This window comes from Homo sapiens, chromosome 11 (genome assembly GCF_000001405.40).
Source record: "Homo sapiens chromosome 11, GRCh38.p14 Primary Assembly".
Taxonomy (NCBI): domain Eukaryota; kingdom Metazoa; phylum Chordata; class Mammalia; order Primates; family Hominidae; genus Homo; species Homo sapiens.
This window is the reverse complement of record NC_000011.10, coordinates 112,870,035-112,887,338: the sequence shown is the minus strand read 5'-3', so window position 1 is coordinate 112,887,338 and position 17,304 is coordinate 112,870,035. Positions and strand designations below refer to the sequence as shown.

The following is a 17,304-nucleotide window of genomic DNA, read 5'->3' as shown; positions in this document are numbered from 1 at the left end:
GTGGGCCTGCCTGTATTCCCATGCATGCCAATCCTCTTCTCTTTGGTATTCCATTTTTGTCCCTGGAGCAAGTTCCCCTGGCCATACACTTCTTTTCCTTCTGCCTTGTGCCTCCAGGGGGAATGTGCTGAAGCTGAGGGCAGCCCGCAACCACCTCAGGTTCCCTGGGAAGTTAGTACACAATGTGGGGCTGAGAAAGAGGCTCCTACAGTCAGATGCACTTGGGTTGGAATCCCAGCCCTGCCAAGGCTGTAGCTTTAGAAACATTTCTCAACTTCACCAAGGCTCAGGGGCCTCATCAGTTAAGTGCAGATAATGGTAAGAGCACATGGCTCACAGGGTTGCTGTGAGGATTCAGTGACGTAATGGAGAGAAAACTGCTTGTGTGTGGGTGTTTGTGGCAAGGGAAAAAGACTTAGAACTGGAAGAGGGTTAGATATCATCTAATTATAATAATTACATGTATTGAGTGTTTCCTGTATGTCAGGCACTTCACATACATTGACTACTTTAATCCCTGAAAGTTTTATGATGTGAGTATTTTTATATCCATTTTAAGAATGGAGAAAGGGCTCAGAGAGATTAAGTCCATTGCCTAAGATCAGGCAGGTTAGGTTTAACTCCAGGTTTAGTTCAATGACCTTGGAGCTGTTCCCACGTTGGACAGGGCTTCCCAAGAGCAAGTATGGGTGAGGGACCTCAGTGGTGGCTCTGGAAGACAGGGAGGCTGTCAGGTGGTCATGGCCCAGTGTGCTCCTTCATGGTTCACTGCAGATGGTACCCGGGAGTCACTGGCCATTAACCCCGAGGTCATGCAAAACATAGCAGTTGTTGTTCCAGAAGCAAATGCGCCTACTTACTCTAGCCAGTGGGGAAATACCAGTTCCTGTGGGAAAGGGTGGGTGGACAGAAGGGAGACAGGTGATAAGGGGAGGGGACGGTGGGGACCGGATGAAACACCAGGGGATGTGGCATCTCAGCCTTTAACTTTCTCAGAACGTATCATGTGCTCTCTCAGCACTGGGCCTTTGCACATGCTATTGTTTTGTCACTATTCATTTATTCATTCAGTAAATGTTTTTGAGCCTCTTTTATGTGCTAATCACTACTATATATGCTGGGATAAGATACCTGACAAGGTGTTGTACTCCCTTGAAACCTACCTTCAAGTTGTAGGGGTAACGGGGAGGCAGATAATATTCATGTAAATAAAATGAGTGAGAAGATTATCCCAGATTTGTGATCTATGAGTCACTAAGAAGAAAATAAACAAGGTAATGGAAAACAGAGTAAGTTGGAATACTTCCCAGATCTAATTATCCTTTGAGATATAACCTGGATAGCACCTCCTCAGGGAAGTCTTCCTGACCCAACAAGTCTAGGATAGACAAGCCTCTAATATGCTCCCAGAGCACCAGGCTTACCACTGTCATTACAAGTACACTGCCTGTTTGTTTACTTACCCGTCTGTCCCTTAGCCTGTCTGTTCCTTGAGGACAAGGGCCAGGTATTGTCGCTGGCACCTATAAGGTGTCTGACACAGCGTAGGTGTTCAACAATTGTTGGTTAAGTGAATGAATGAATGGATGAATAGATGGACATGTTTGGTGTTCTGCAGGGTGAAACATCAAGCCTATTTTCAGTAAAGTTATGTCCTGAAACCTGTGTGATCTGATTGTATTCTTCCTATCTGCTGCTGACTGTTCTCTTTTTTTCTTTAAACATATTTGGGGATTTTAATGAATGAGAATGATTTGCACTACAGCATATGGCTACTTTAATTAAGCAAAGGGTATCATTTTAGTAGCATAATAGATACTGTGTAATTTATCAGGCCTCATGTGTATTTTACAAGTATACCATGTGGACTATGTAAATATTTCTATATTTGGGAGGGGTAGATGGAATCTCTATTGATCTGCTGCAAGACAGTGCATGGAAAAAAAAAAGCTGGAATCATCTCAGGGTTCCCTCTGGGCACCCTGAAAAGTAGAGAACTAAAAAGGGGGAGGAGAAGTGGGGAAGAGCCACCCACCACTGTTGTGGAACTAAGGGTAACCCTCCATATTTGCTACTAGAAGAAGGGACATTGCTGCTCACTGAAGAGGTAGATCTTTGTAGAAAGAGGTGCTGCTTGGAGAGTTGGAAAGAGGCCCTGGGCTCCTGGGCTTTGTTGCTAAGCATTTGACCAAGGCTGGCAAATTAGAATTCATTCGAGAGAAGGAATAGACTAAAAATAAGGCAGGGAAAAGAAAGCTTAGCCCATGTGTGCGATGGAAACCCAGTAATACTGATATGTGGCAGAGAAACACACCAAACAGTTTAGAAACAGGCCCTGATGTCGCTACACAGACAGAGACTGAACAGAGGCTAGACAGACAGTCCAGGATATTTCCGTGAGCAGGATGCTTTTGATCCAGAAGGAGGGGTCCCAGCACTCTGGGAATACCTAGTACAGTGACAGACAGACCCTGCTGGGTCAGCAGTCCCCTTCTGTAGGGACAAGTGCAACTGTGCCAGATGCTGCAGACCCAGGATGCCCAGTTGGTGGGTCTCCAGGCAAAGGGGCCCTGGACAAGGGCGTGCTCTAAATAATGAATTTTCCCTACAGAACTCACAGTTTCTCCAAAGAACTATCTTCTTCAGGGGAGTAGAGCAGAGAACGATTCATGGAGAAAGTGAAACTGGCACTGGATTTGAGAGGGTGACTCACATCAGATGGTCAGAAGGAGTGGGAGGGGGACCCGCACAGAAACAGAGGGTCAGGGTGCCATAGATAGTACCTCATCTTGCATTCCACAAGCATCCCATGTGGGAATGATCAGTTATGTCTCTCAATCCCCTCTCTATTCCAGGCTCCAAAGAGACACATGGTTAAGGGCCAGTAACACAGCAGATCTGGTGGAGCCAAGCATCTGTGGACAGGGCAGGTCAGCCAATTCTGATTTCACATACTTGTGAGAAGTATCAGAAAAAAAGTGAATGGTAGATCCAGAAGAGAGTGTGGAGAACCTGGAAGGCATTAACTGTAAATTTTAAAAGGAAAAAAATACATTTACTGGCATCTCTCTGCAATATGCAAGGCTCTAAATTTAGGAGGCTGGGATGTACTGCAAAGAATCAGACTCTCAAATGGCCACCTGCGTATCTCCATCTGGATGTTCCACTGCACAGTAGACTTCACATGGTCAACATTCTAGTTCTTATCTGTTTGCCTAAATATGTTCCTTCCCCTTTAGTCCTTTACCCAGTTAATGGCACCAGCGTGCACCTAGTCATCTGAGCCATAAACCCAGTATTCATTTTGGGTACCCCCCTCACTCTCTATGTTAATAATTATTAGCAAGTCCCATAGTTTCACCAGGCAATCCTTCCTTCAATCTCTCGACTCCTTTCTATTTTCCTTACTTTGAGTATTACAATAGTCTCCCCACTGATACCCCTGCCTCCTGGCCTGTGCCCCTCAGTTTCAGACCCCACACTACCACCATATCACCCCCTGCTTAAAACTCTACACAGACTCCTCAGAGCTAAGACAATAGTAACTATGGATATTTTAAGCTTTAGAACATTTTTTTTGGCAAGTGAAACACCAAATATAAAAGAGGTAAGAGTTTAGATATCGATGAGCGTCTTGTTTGGTCAATCTTTCCCTTTATCCAAGGCACCATTAAAGAGTCCAGGTGCTCCCACAAATACAGTCTGAAAACTCCCAGGGAATGTTGGAGCCACTTAGTAGGGTTTACATCTCCCTCTGCAATCTAGTCATGGGCCATCTCCCGTGTCCCACTTCCTGCCGCTCTCTCTCTCTGTTACATTTTAGGCTCCAGTGACTCTGACCTGCATATGGTTGTTCCCATGCATCCGATGCTTCATGCCTCCATCCTCTTGTCCATACGACTCCCGTGCTTGGACCATCCTGTTCTCCTCACTCGCCCCATCAGCTGCCTAACTCCATGGATCTCTTCAGATTCTGTTCAGATGTCAGCTTCTTCCAGAGGCCTCTCTAACCCCCAAGCACGGCCAGCTGTCTCAACTCTCTGTTCCCTCAGCTCCAGGGTTGGAATTCGATGGCAGGCCTGTGTTAAATTGTGTGTAGAGCCTTCCCCAGGAGACCCTGAGGACTGGACTGTGACTCATGCATCTCCATCTTTGGCTCCTGGCACAGTGCTCCTTCCTGGCACCCAGTGGATATTCAGCAAACAAATCTTCAGTGTACTCAACTGTGGGTCTCAGACAGGTGCCTCCCCCACTTTCATGTAGACCATCCAGATTCCTGCTGTGTTGCCTACAATCTCAGAGATCACAGAGTGTGCCCTTATGTCCCATAGCAGCAGACTCAGGATGCCTGGCATTGCCTCCAGGGGATTCTGGCTTGCCTGTGTGGGCCCTGGTTGATAAACGGCTGTTTCACTTGCTCTCTCCCCGCCAGGCCTCTAGGAAAGACCAGCCCTTATCATGAATGAAATGCCATACTAAATATCTTGGGCATGAGGCCAGTGAGCAGGGCTGTTGCGCAGTGCAAAGAAGTTGCTATAAGACTCTAATAGACATACAGCTTTGGGAAGAAAAGATGAGCAATAAGACATTTGTCTCAAGAGCCAGATGCGGCTTCATCACACCTCTTGTCTGATAGGAGCTGGTCTAAGTCTGAGTAAACAGGCACTTAGTACAGGAGATTTAGAAGACAGAAAACCCCTGGTCACTGTGGTCTTTGGGGGAGGAAGTGGCTAAATAGGAGCTTCACAATATTTGTGGAAAATAATGGTGTTATGGGCTCACTTGTATTCCACCTAAAATTTGTATGTTGAACTTCCAATCCCCAGTACCTCAGCATGTGACTGCATTTAGAGACAGACTGTATTTTAAAGAGGTAAAATGGCCCTAACCCAGTATGACTTGTGTCCTTATAAGAAGAGGAAATTTGGATAAAGACATGCTTACAGAGGGAAAGGCTATGTGAGGGCACATTGGGAAGGCAAGCCAAGGAGAGAGGGCTCAGATGAAATTAACCCTGCTGGCACGTTCGTCTTCAACTTGCAGCCTCCAAAAGAGTGAGAAGATATATTTTCCTTGTTCAAGCCACCTAGTCTGTGGTCCTTGGTTAGGACACCCTAGTCAACTAGTACAGATGGGTAGGGGGTGGTGAGGGTCTCCAGCCCCCATGCAGGGGCTTTTGGTCTGTGATTTGCCACTGTGGGTCACTGCAACTCCTCTGGGGGTGGGGGGGGGGGGTCTCCCGACCCATTAGGTAGCGCCCTGTCGCCCTGTCACCTGCTCATAAACATCTTATTTCTCTTGCTTGGTTCTCATCACACGCTCATAGAAGTACTGCATTTCCTTACTTCCGTCTCCCCCACTGGACTCTGAATTCCTTGAGGGTAGGGATTGTGCCCTTCTTCCCAGTGCCTGCCACAGAAACGGTGCCCAGTAAACACGTATTTGTGGAATTGATGAATTGGAGTTGGTCTCTGCCCTGGGTGTTTCCCATCAGTCTCGCTGTCCCGCCCTTCTGCCCTTCTGAAGCCCATAAAACAGAGTCTGCTCCCCAAGCTGGCCTGGCTCGGGTCGGGGCTCGCAGCGTCCCCTCCCCAGCAGCTTTCGCGAGTGACTGGCAGGGCTGGGAAACAAGCCCACCGCGGGAGGAGGCTCCAGACGAAATGGCCTGGATGGGGGAGCAAGACGATTGGGCCCTGTCCTGTCCAGCGATGTGATTGGCTGTCTGTCCGAACAGGCTCCTGTGATTGGCTCCCCAGGCAGCAGAGCGAGGCTAATGAATCCCTTCCCTTTAGGCGTTTCCTGCTAGCTTTCTGGCAGGGAAAGCAGGGTGGTGGCTGTCGTTCTAGACTGGTCCTTGTGTGCTGCAACCTCAAGGTGCAGAAAATGCTCAGAGCCCTAGACAAACAGTCCTTCGCTAGACCTGCCTGGGAAGGGGATTAGCTACGGGTCAATAGGGGTCTAACACAATCTTTCTGTCGGGTAGACAAAACCACCATTGATACACCTGCTCTCTGGAGTTGACACCTTTAACTCAAGGCAGAAAAGCAAACCATCTAAATTCAGTCCTCTATCTTCACTTCTTTTTTACTTTGGTTTCTCTCCTGGGGTTAGACCTGTATTTTTCTTTTTCTGCAAATTGAAAATGTAGGTTACAGGCTGGGCTGTCAAATTAGGAAGGACTAGCAGTTAGAATGAGTGGCTCTCCTGCCCTTAGCAGCCTGGAAATGTTCTTTACTATTCCAGCAGCTGCAGGGATATTTGGGAGTCTATAGTGATAATAATTATTGTTACTATTTGCACATTGAAGCCGCCAACAGTTCACACATTATAATGATTCTGTATACAATTTTAATCCTACATTAATAGGCATTTTTCATTTGTCCTGAAAACTCTGACATAATTTACTTTTTTTTTTTGCTTCACATTTTACATTCTGCAGAAAAGGAAAACGTTGGCTGGGAGGTTAAATGACTTAGCTGAGACCACAGGTCTTATGCAGAGGGAGCTTGCAGACACCTTAGATGAAGAAGTAGTATGGCTACCACTGTGGCTGGTGGGGGAATGTATATGGAGGACAAGGGAGGCCAGTCTACTAAGTTAAACTCTGCGGACTAGAAAATCAACACCTGACCTCGTTTCCAGGAAATGTTAGTTCTGCTTACTCCCAGAGTGGGGTTTGTCTGTTTCCTGACTGGTTCCTGCACCGGACAGGCCTTGAGGGGGTGACAACCACAGTACATGCCAAGTGAGGGTGATGACTAGAAAGAAGGTTTCCTGTTCCCACCTCTCTCTTCTCTTCTGGTCAGCACTCCTGCAGAAGCATAGGAAGGTGATGATGTTTGTCATTTATTCACAGAGATATTCCTGTACTCCCTGCTCTCTTTCCCCCTCTGTTTGAGTAGGGGTCCCCCAGAGAGTACTTCTTAGATCATTTATTTTTAATGGGATTTGAACAGCTGAGCTGGTGTGACTGTGCCTTGGGTTCCTGGTACTTTTCTAGTCTTTTCTGGACTTTCTGTCATGCCAGGTAGGCTTACTGTTTGTTTTAATTTTGTGAAAGTAACACCAAGTTAAAAAAATAACTATGGAAAATGAGAACAAGGACAAATACATGGATATATGTGGAGGGAAATACTGGCAGCAGAAACTTGAATTCCAAGGCCCTGTGCAAAACTTTGAAAAGACTTGAATTCCATGGCCCTACACTCACCGTCCACAGTGTTAACATGGGTTGGTGCGTGCCTGTGATATGTGCAGGCATCTTCTTTTGTGGATCCCAGGAGCTTCAGGGCTCACTTAAGGGCAGCCATACGTGAGAAAATCCTTATAAAGTGTTTGACACTGCATGGCACATGGTAAACACTCCATAATTCATAGGCATCACAATTGTTATTGGTAAAAATGGGACAATGAAAGAAAAAGATTTAATCTATCTCCTTTTCTCTGAACTCCTGAGATAGTCCCTCTCATTCAGGGTTTAGAATGTCTATCTCAGAAAATAAGGAAATCTGAGTATCTGAATATGAAATCTGCTGAGTGTCGAACTGCACAATGAGATACTGCAAGGATGGGGCTGGGGTCTGGCTTCTTGAACCTTCCATGATATAATAGCCTGAGTGATCACTCTGAGACCCAGTGATTTTCTTCTAAGTATTTGATTTGAGATTTCACTTCCAGACTGAACCTGAGATTTTACTAGTCACTAGTTCAGGTGACTGCTGAAGGCTTGTATGTTTCCTAGTGCTGCTATAATAAATTTCAACAGAGCAGGTGGCTTACAGTAGAAATTTTACTCTCTCACAGTTGTGGAGGCTACAAGTCCAAAACGAAGGTGCCGAAAGGACGGTGCTTTCTTGGAAGTCTGTAGAAGAGGATTCTTTCTTGTTTCCTCCAGCCTCTGGAGCTGTAGGCATTTCTTGGCTTGTGGCAACATCACTTCGATCTGTGCTTCTATCATCACATGGTCATCTGCTTTGTATCTGTTTCCTCTTCTTCTGAGGACACCAGTCATTGGATTGGGGCCCACCTCCCTCTAGTATGACCTCAGTTTAGCTTAACTAATTACATCTGCAATGACTCTATTTCCAAAGAAGTTCACCTTCTGAGGTATTGGGGGTTAGGACTTCAACATATCCTCTTTGGGGGGATATGATTCCACCCATATCAGGGCCCTTCCGCTGTCCATCACAACAGGCCTTGAAGCCAGCAGGGTTCCAGGGCACATCTCAAGCTCACTTCCAGATATGTCATTCCAGGAAGAAGGCCCTGTCCATGGCAGCCAGGTTTCCCTCCGCATTGCCTAGTTCCGGGCCCTGCCGCAGCCAGAGGGGATGAAACACTGCACACATATCCCTGTCCCATTGCATCCCATACATCCTGGGCTTGGTGAGTAGAATGTGGGGCATCTTTTTTTTTTTTTTTTGAGACAGAGTCTCACTCTTTCACCTACGCTGGAGTGCAGTGGCATGATCTCGGCTCACTGTGACCTCCGCCTCATGGGTTCAAGCGATTCTCCTGCCTTAGCCTCCTGAGTAGCTGGGATTACAGGAGCCCACCACCACACCCAGATAATTTTTGTGTTTTAGTAGAGATGGAGTTTCACCATGTTGGTCAGGCTGGTCTCGAACTCCTGACCTCAAGTGATCTGCGGGGCACTCTTAAGAGTTCTGATCAAGGCCACTTTCCCAGGCCAAAGCCCTCCTGCCCGAGAGGGTCAGCCTGCTGAAGTGGACGTAATTCATCTTCAGGGCTTTTCCTCCCTGCACTGCTGCCCGCCTCACATCCGCTTACTCCACTGCCAGAAAAGGTTGTCGCAGCATAGACACAGCAGAGACACTCTCTCAAATCCCATTGTCTGGAGAACAGCGAGACTGGCTCAGGCTGAGTGACAGTCACAGCTGAGCAAAAAGGGGCAGAGAGAGAGGAGAGAGAACAGAGTGAGAGCTGGAGCTCAGAGAGACAGGGAGGGACAGTTTGGCTACCCCAGCAGCTGCCAGCCTCCCTGGAGGAAAACCTGCCTCTGCTTCCCGGGGTCCTCTTCCTCAGGTCTGTGGGGAGTGCCTGGCCTGGGTTACCCAGCCACTCACAATGATCATGTGGTCCTGAAGGAAGGGACAGAGTAGACTGTAAGTGTGCCGTCTCCCCATGCAGCCTTACCTAATACACTCACAGTTTGTCTCAGAAAGAGACAGTCATTGGGCTTTCATTATTTTTTTTCAGAAAGATCTAAATGTTCTCTAATTAACCTATTAGTTTTAATTATACACCCATAGTCATTTATTTGCTAATCTGAAAAACGAACACCCTGGATTCAAAGAAAAGATTCCCCACCCACCCCCACCCTTTCTCCCCACCCCCCCGCCGGGAAGTGTTTAAATCACTTGTCAACACAGAGGGAATAATAATAATAAAAAGAGTGACATCCGATCAGAGAGCAGGGAAGCAGCGAAGAGAAACAAAGCCCAACAGCAATCAGAGCCGGGTGAAGGCTCCTCCATATTCATCAGATGGGAGACAGCAGCTGAGGTATGGCCTGGCTCTGCCGGGGCCAGCAGGGCCTGGGGCTGGCTGCCGGGGACAGCGGCCCACTCCGCATCCTGAGCAGCCTCCTCCCCCTACCTGCAGGACATCATGGCTCAGGCCTTACAGAGGGACACACAGAGATCACAGGTGTGTTGCTGTTGTCAGCCTCCGTCTGCCCTACATCCTTGGCAGATGAGGCTTGTGCCTGAGACACACGCTCTGAGTGTAGCCACAATGAGGGAGGAAAGACACACACACACACGCACACACACACACACACACACACTCTCTCTCTCTCTCTCATAATTTATATTTGTTCTGTGGAAAAATAAGGGATTATAATAAACCATAACCACCACAAATACTATTAGTGCATCAGTGATGATAACTCACTTGTAGATGTGACAAAAATAAGATAGGCTGTTATTAGGTTCAGTTCTTTATGTATAGCCTGCAATTTCACCTTTTTTCTCCCCTTGCTGTAGGAAAGCCTGTCAAAGGGAAAGAAGGTACAGTTTTTACAGGGAGACTGCTGAATTTATATCTATATATGAATCCAAGTATGAATGCAAACACTAACTTTAGCCAGCATTTATTGGTAGCATCTATGCTAGATGTTGTGCTGAGCACTTGACATTTTGCCTCACTTAATCCTCACAATAACCCTTAGGAGGCAGACACTTTAATGCCATTTTACTAACAGGTAGACTGAGAGCTAAAGAGGTAAAGTAACTTGCCCAAGATCACAAAAACAACTAGTGGTGGGGCCAGAATTTTGACTTTGCTGGACTCCTAAGTGTCTGCTCAAAACAACTTTGCTATTCTGCTTCCCAAACTGTTTGATAAAGCAAGCAACTTGCAAATGTTGGTGCTCACTTTAGGTAACAAATTACTTGTGACAACCCCTTGTGAATGAGCCTGAGAACTGCTGGTGTGGGGTTGAATGCCCAGTGTATTGGTCTCAGCCTCACTGTGTCTGGGCAGGTAGCTCACTGATGCTCACTGGTAACCCTCTAGGGCCCTTAGAGTTTGACATGGCTGCAGGTGCCTGGCTTTACTGAGAGTGCCTGGGGAGCTGGGGCTGGAGAGAGGGACACCCATGACTTTTGTAAAACCCCTCTGCAAGAGAGTACGTGAGAGCTAGACTGTGAGTTCAGGGTCCACCAGGGAGTCTGGGGACCCTGCAAGGTTGTGGGGCTTAGGCCAGTTCCCCAAGAATGACTCATTCCTTGTAAGAAGAGAACCACGTGTCGCAGAAGTTCAACCAAGGAGAAGGGTAAGGAAAAGGGAGGCAATCGCTGTTCCCTCCAGATGTCACTGTGGAAGATTCTTAATGAGTGGTTAAGAGTTTCAGCCAAGGGTATGGAGACCACAGCCGCCAGGCAAGAGGCGGGAGCTGGAGGAGCCTTTGACAAGGTCAGGACAGGGAATAAGAAAGCTGATCAGAGTGGAAGCCAAGAGGACTTGGAAAGCCGTTGATGCTGGGCTTGGAAAGGCCTTTTGACCAGGGCTTCAAGAAGATTGGGGCTTCCCTGAAATTAAATGCAAATTTTGGGCATTCACACATTTGGATCAAGACTCCACCATGCCCCGCTACCCCAGCCCTGATTAGTTTCTCACTGGGGTGGGTCTCAAACAAAGAAGAACTATTGTCCCAAACTGTTCCCAGCAAGGGACAAATGTGTGTCTAATGTGGTGTGGCAGCTCTTCTAGAGTGTTGGAAGCCAAGATTGCTCTCCACCAAGTCTAGGGGAAAGCCACTGGGTCTCCCCACCTCAAGGGGTGTGGGCAGCTGCAAGGCTCCTTTGCAAACTGTGTTCAGGTGTGTGGGCTCCACCCCTTGGGAAGTCAGGGGACGCACTTTGACCCTAACACCCTCAGCAGTCCTCATGGACTGACTGTTGTTCTGAAGCCCCTGCTCCAAAGCAATTTCACACCTGTGGATACATGATAGTCTATGTTGCAACCACTCAGGACCCTCAGAAGAGTTTTACAAAATAATTAAATGAGTGATTTGACACTTGCACCTTTCTTCCCATCTCTGTTCACTGAAGATACATAAAAACTAATGAATCACACTTTACTCTGGACTAAACCATCTGCCATTTCAAGCTTGGATGTCTCCCCACCCTCCTTCCCTCACTCGGTTCCAGAGGGTTGTCCCTATTGCTAGGTTTTGCTGTAGGGAACTTCTTCAAGAAGCCTGGCATCTTCCCCTCTGCCAGAGATCAACCAATAATAGTCTTGTTCCCGTTCAATCCACTGCCTGGAATGGACCCCACAAGTCTAGGGACTGAGTTTAAGTGGAGTGACGCCTCATTTATCTGTGCATTTTTAGAATTTACACAAACTAACTCGATAACGGAATCCTATCCTTTCAGGAGCCAAACTCATTTCTTTAAAAAACTCAATCATTTTTAGTAGACATTTCTCAAAAACACATTACACACTCTCCTTCCTCCTTAAACAGAGGCTACTGATCATCATTTCACTGAGCTGTGATCTATCTGCACCTGCTTGTTAGTTGCTCCAACTCCTCTCTTCACGTCAGATCAGCTTCCACTGCCCTTGCTGTGAGGATATCTACCTCTAACAGCCTTGCTGCCTTTCTTCTGCTGGGTTGTTTCTGTGTGTGCTGCTGTCAGCGCTGGGAGCTATAAGACCCACTTCCTGAGCTGATACATTCGAGATGAATCAGTGAGGCCCTCAATGACATCCTGAAGGGGTCTGCTGCTGGGTTTAACAGAGGCAGGGCTTTGTGATGGCTGCTTTGTGTGGTCAGAGGCTTTTTGGCTTATTAAATTGGATGTTTCTGTCTTATTGAACTGATGGTGAGAGAGACCATGGAAACATCATTTTCTGTTTAGGGGCAGTCAGCACCCGTTGAAACCCACGGCCGTTTCTGCGGTTCCTGGGTAGTGGATGTCATGGAAGAAAAGACAAGGAAGAAGGGTGGAGTTGACTGGATATGTATTCCATAGCAAGCGTTCTGCCAGGCACATTCACACACTATTTCATTTGCTTCTTACTACGACTTGGAGATGTACAGGGTATCATCCCTATTTTACTTATGAGAAAATGGAGGCTTACAGACTTTAATAAGCTGCAGAATCAAAAGCGCAACTTAGGCCTTTCTGATGTTAAAACCTATTGTCTTTATACTCATTCTTCTTCTTCAAAAAAAACTCTTTTTAATTTTGGCCAGGTGTGGTGGCTCATTTCTGTAATCCCAGCACTTTCAGAGGCCAAGGGGGGCAGATCATGAGGTCAAGAGATCGAGACCATCCTGGCCAACATGGTGAAACCCCATCTCTACTAAAAATACAAAAATTAGCTGGGCGTGCTGGCATGCGCCTGTAATCCCAGCTACTTGGGAGGCTGAGGCAGGAAAATCTCTTGAACTCGGAAGGCAGAGGTTGCAATGAGCCAAGATCTTGCTACCGCACTCCAACCTGGAGACAGAGTGAGACTCCATCTCAAAATAAACAAATAAATAAACATAAAAATAAATTAATAAATTATGAAATTTTCTGTGAAACCTCAACATACAAAAGATAAGACTAGGGAGATTCTTGAAGGCCTAAGACTCCCTAGGTCTCCCAGTTCTATTGGAACCCCAGGTCCCTGTGGAACCCAGATTGAAAACTGTAAGAATCAGGTCCTTTCATTTTTTTCTGAGATGCATTGTGATGATGATGATGCATTGGGATTATGGATCTTTATAGATTAGGAGCTCTTAGGGACCTGAATAAAATTTTCTCTATTTGTTCCCAAGAAAAGGAAAGGATAGAAACACTTTCTCTGGAGAGATCTGTGAGTGAGCTATCCATCTCAATGCAAGTCCTCTGCCCTCTCTGGGCTCTCACCTCACTCAGCTTAACAGATTTCTTTGACATCTGATTACATTTGATGGCTCTGATGGCACAGACCCGGATAGACTGTTCCCTGGGCAATTCACTGCTGGTGGACTAGGGTTCAACACTCTCTGGACCTAGGCTTTCTCCTACAGCCTTCTTATAATTGCCCTCTACCCCTTCTCTTCTGCACAAATTGTGCTCAATTCTTCAGGGGGGCAAAAATTATTTTATTAGACTGTCTGACATCTACAGTGTATTAGACACGTACAGGAACTCCCAAGCTAAGACTCAGAGGTGAAAAGACATAGCAAGCCTGGAGAGGCACACCAGTGGCCTCAAAAAGCAGGTTTGGGCCCAAAATTAGTTGTAGCTGAGGAACGGGTTAATAAGAAGAGGCAGCTAGTAAGGAGAGTGAGTCAAGCAAACAGGTTTTAATTCTGCCTCTGTTACTTCCAGTCCTGTGACCTAAACAAGTGCTTGAATCTCTCTGAGCCTGAGCGTTGTGAGCTGCAAAATGGGGGATAAAAATATCTCCCTCATGGGTTGCATGTGGGTCCACATGGATTGGTGCATATGAGGTGTTGGGCACAGTTTGTGGCACATAGTAAGAAATTAACAGCTTAGTTGTTGCTGTTATTATTATTATTATTGTCATTAATCAATATATAATAAGACAGGAAACCCAAGGAATAAGAAGTAATCCAAAGTCATATAAAGAATAGAAATCTACTTAGGGCCTGGTCATGGTGTTTACATTAGCTTAATGATGATTACTGCAATAGTCCAAAATTTATTAGGGGATTCCAGGCCTGTGGCTTGCTGACCAAGCAGAGATACTAAATTGCTGGGCATTTGAATTTGGACACAGGGGAAAGGCTAAGGAGTCCTCAGCATATAGACAGTAGTAAGTCATGGGGCTGGATAAATCGCATTTCATGAGAAAGATAGATGGAGATGGGAAGTGGCTCGACAGGGCAGTGGGCACCAGTAATGGAGACGGGGAAGGAATAGATAGCAAGGTGGAAGGAGAGCCAGTTGTGCCCAAGGCCAGGAGGAAACAATGATTCAAGAAAGGAGATGTCAATGGCATTGAATGCTGCAGAGAGAGTGAGGGGAAGGGCAGGAGGGGATATTGCGCCTGGCATTGTGAGGTTGTTCAGACCTCGACTGGGGCAGTTTCATGGTAGGAGCAGGCACGGATGCCTGATTTGGTGGGATGTGGAGAGAAGGGAGGTGAGAAAGTCACTATCATCAGTACAGACAACACTTTCAAGATGTTTTCCTGAGATTTCTCCCTGAGGACTGAATGGGTGGGAGTTCTGTAGGCAAATGCACTATCCCACTCCCCAGGACCATCAGCTGGTGAGGCATCCTATGGGAGTGAATTTCACTTGAGGGGAGAAATGAATTAAAAGCCCCCTCATGGGCAGGGGGGGCGGCATCTGTCATGCCCACGTGACTAGAATACAGGAAATGGGGTGTTGGGGACAATCCTTCTGGGAGCAGAATATTCCTTCCCACCCATCATGTGACATGATCTATGGCCAACGTCAGCTGGGGGATTGTCTGGACCCCTGGGAGTCTCCCTGCCCTGGTGTTCAGGACCACACCCAGTCTGGTCTTACTGTCAAGTGTCCTGGGACAGGTGGCCTGGGATGAATCAGACAGCTAATTAGCACTCTTTCTCTGTCTAAAATGAGCCAGAGACACATAAATTGCTCCCAAGAGGGAGGGCAGGAGGCAGAGAAAAGGGAGGTAGGAAACCAAGAGAAGTTACATCAGAAAAACAACATCATGCAAACAGCCTCACATCCCAACTCAGCGTTCTTCTTCCAATAGGAGTGGCAGAGGTGGGGGGACGCTGGGGACCCCTGAGGTGAGACATCCGTGTTGGCGCCTCATTGTCAGCATGACAGATGCTGCCCCCCTGCCCGTGTGGGCACAGAGTTGCTCTCTACATGGTTAGCTTGGTGTCTAACATCTCTGTGTTTGCTTATCACACAGCCCTGAAAACGTAGTGCAGAGTGTCAACATCCAGCTCTGTCCTCAGCAAACTGAGGTTTCTGCCTGGTAAGGGTCACATCAAGGCAGTGGCCAGTCCTGCACTAACCTGGGGGGTGAAAACATCATTGAAATTCACCAGCAGAGTGTTTTGGGGAAGAGAGCAATAGGGAAAAATCTGGAGATTTACAGTCTAACCACGGTTCTGCCACTAACTGGTTGCATGACCCTGGATCAGTCACTTTACTTCTTAAGAGTTGAGAAATGTGAAAGTTTGGGCTAGCAAATTTCTCTAACATTCAGGAGCCTCTCAGTTCAGCATTCTTCCAAGCAAATTATTTCTTACAAGTCTTTCCAAGCAAATTCTCTTTTATGGAGACATGCCTCTTTTTTTCATATTCATTCTACCCTAACTTTTGAGAGCCCAGCATTCCTGTTGATCTCAATTCCATGTAGTCAAAGAGAAAGAACCCAGAGGTGGGCAGAGGAGCAAAATAATTACTTACCTGACAGATGGGGAAGGAAGTCTTAAGTCTGTAATTAAAGGCTACTGACCACAATGAGCACATCTATTCCTCAGATCTTGGTTTTTAATATTCTCCAATAAAAGGAAGTTTCCTTGGAGAAATGGCTGATTCTAGGATTGGGGTAAGGAGTATACAAGGATCCCAAAGCATCTTGTATGTTAGAGCCCCTAAGCTCTTTCGGTTGGCTCCTGTGTCCCTTTGACTTACCTCCATCATAGTGTGTGTGTGTGTGTGTGTGTGTGTGTGTGTGTGTGTGTGTGTCTGTCTGTCTGTCTGTCTGTGTGTCTGTGTGTCCCAGCCATAGCTGGAAGAATTTAAGAAAGAAAATAAATAAGAAAGTATTGGATGATAATGCAAGGTATAGAATTCAAGCTCATAAGTCATTATTAATGTAAATAAATGATTGAATATATACATGCATACATAAATAAGGTAGAAAAGATCAATCTCTTGTGCACAGAATTCCAAATGATTTATGTGAACTCTGCCTTGAAGGAGGAGGAGCAAATCCCTTTACTCTTTGATTGTGGACCACATATAGAAATTTCCTTCCAAAGAGTACAGTATGGAAAGGAGGGAGAAAGAGTAACTTTGGAGTAAAAAAGCCTGAACACTGTCTCAGACGGGTGATCAATGTTAAGATTAAACAGTGATAGGTTAAGTTTATAATATATACTCTTGAAATCACGTGATGAAAATGGCACTTTACCTCTGTGATCTTCCTCCCAAAAACCCATTACCCCAGTATAATTGTAAGACAGCAGACAAACCCCAACTGAGGCACAGTCTACAAAATATCTAGTCAGTATTCCTCAAAACTGCCAAGATCATCAAAAGCAAGGGGAGTCTGAGAAACTCTCACAGCCAACAGGAACCTAAAGAGACATTACAACTAAACGCAATGTGGTATCTTGGATGGGATCCTGAAACAGAAAAAGGACATGAGGAAATCTGAATGAACTATAAATTTTAATTAATAGCAATGTGTCAATGTTAGTTCATTCATTGTAACAAATATACCTTACTAATGTAAAATGTTAGCAATAGGGGAAATGGGGTACCAAGTATCGAGGAAACTCTGTGCTATCTTCACAATCTTTCTAGGATTCTAAAACTGTTCTAAAAAATAAAATTTATTTTTAAAAAATTCTGCCAAGATCATGTGTTTCCAATTAAGTCATTTGACTAGTTCAAACCTGAGTAGAGTTGCTTTGTAATTTTGAAACTGAGTAAAGAATCGTGGTGGACACTGCTAATTGCCTACCTAATTTCTGCCTTCTTCTTTACGGACAGAATACCTTTCTGCATTCAGGAAGACAATGTGTCCAGCTGAAAATATTCATTTCTCCTCATTCTCTTGAAGCAAGAGGTTCATGGCACAGTTCTGGTCAATGAGT

General features: G+C 46.0%; 2 annotated features.

Moving 5' to 3' along the window:
• Positions 5,097–5,597: an enhancer, noted in NCBI's record as "H3K4me1 hESC enhancer chr11:112752465-112752965 (GRCh37/hg19 assembly coordinates)". NCBI's record gives its function as "activates a minimal SCP1, AML or CMV promoter by ChIP-STARR-seq in primed H9 embryonic stem cells {active_cell/tissue: H9 hESC(primed)}" and the evidence as "EXISTENCE:reporter gene assay evidence [ECO:0000049][PMID:30033119]".
• Positions 9,086–9,601: an enhancer, noted in NCBI's record as "H3K4me1 hESC enhancer chr11:112748461-112748976 (GRCh37/hg19 assembly coordinates)". NCBI's record gives its function as "activates a minimal SCP1, AML or CMV promoter by ChIP-STARR-seq in naive H9 embryonic stem cells {active_cell/tissue: H9 hESC(naive)}" and the evidence as "EXISTENCE:reporter gene assay evidence [ECO:0000049][PMID:30033119]".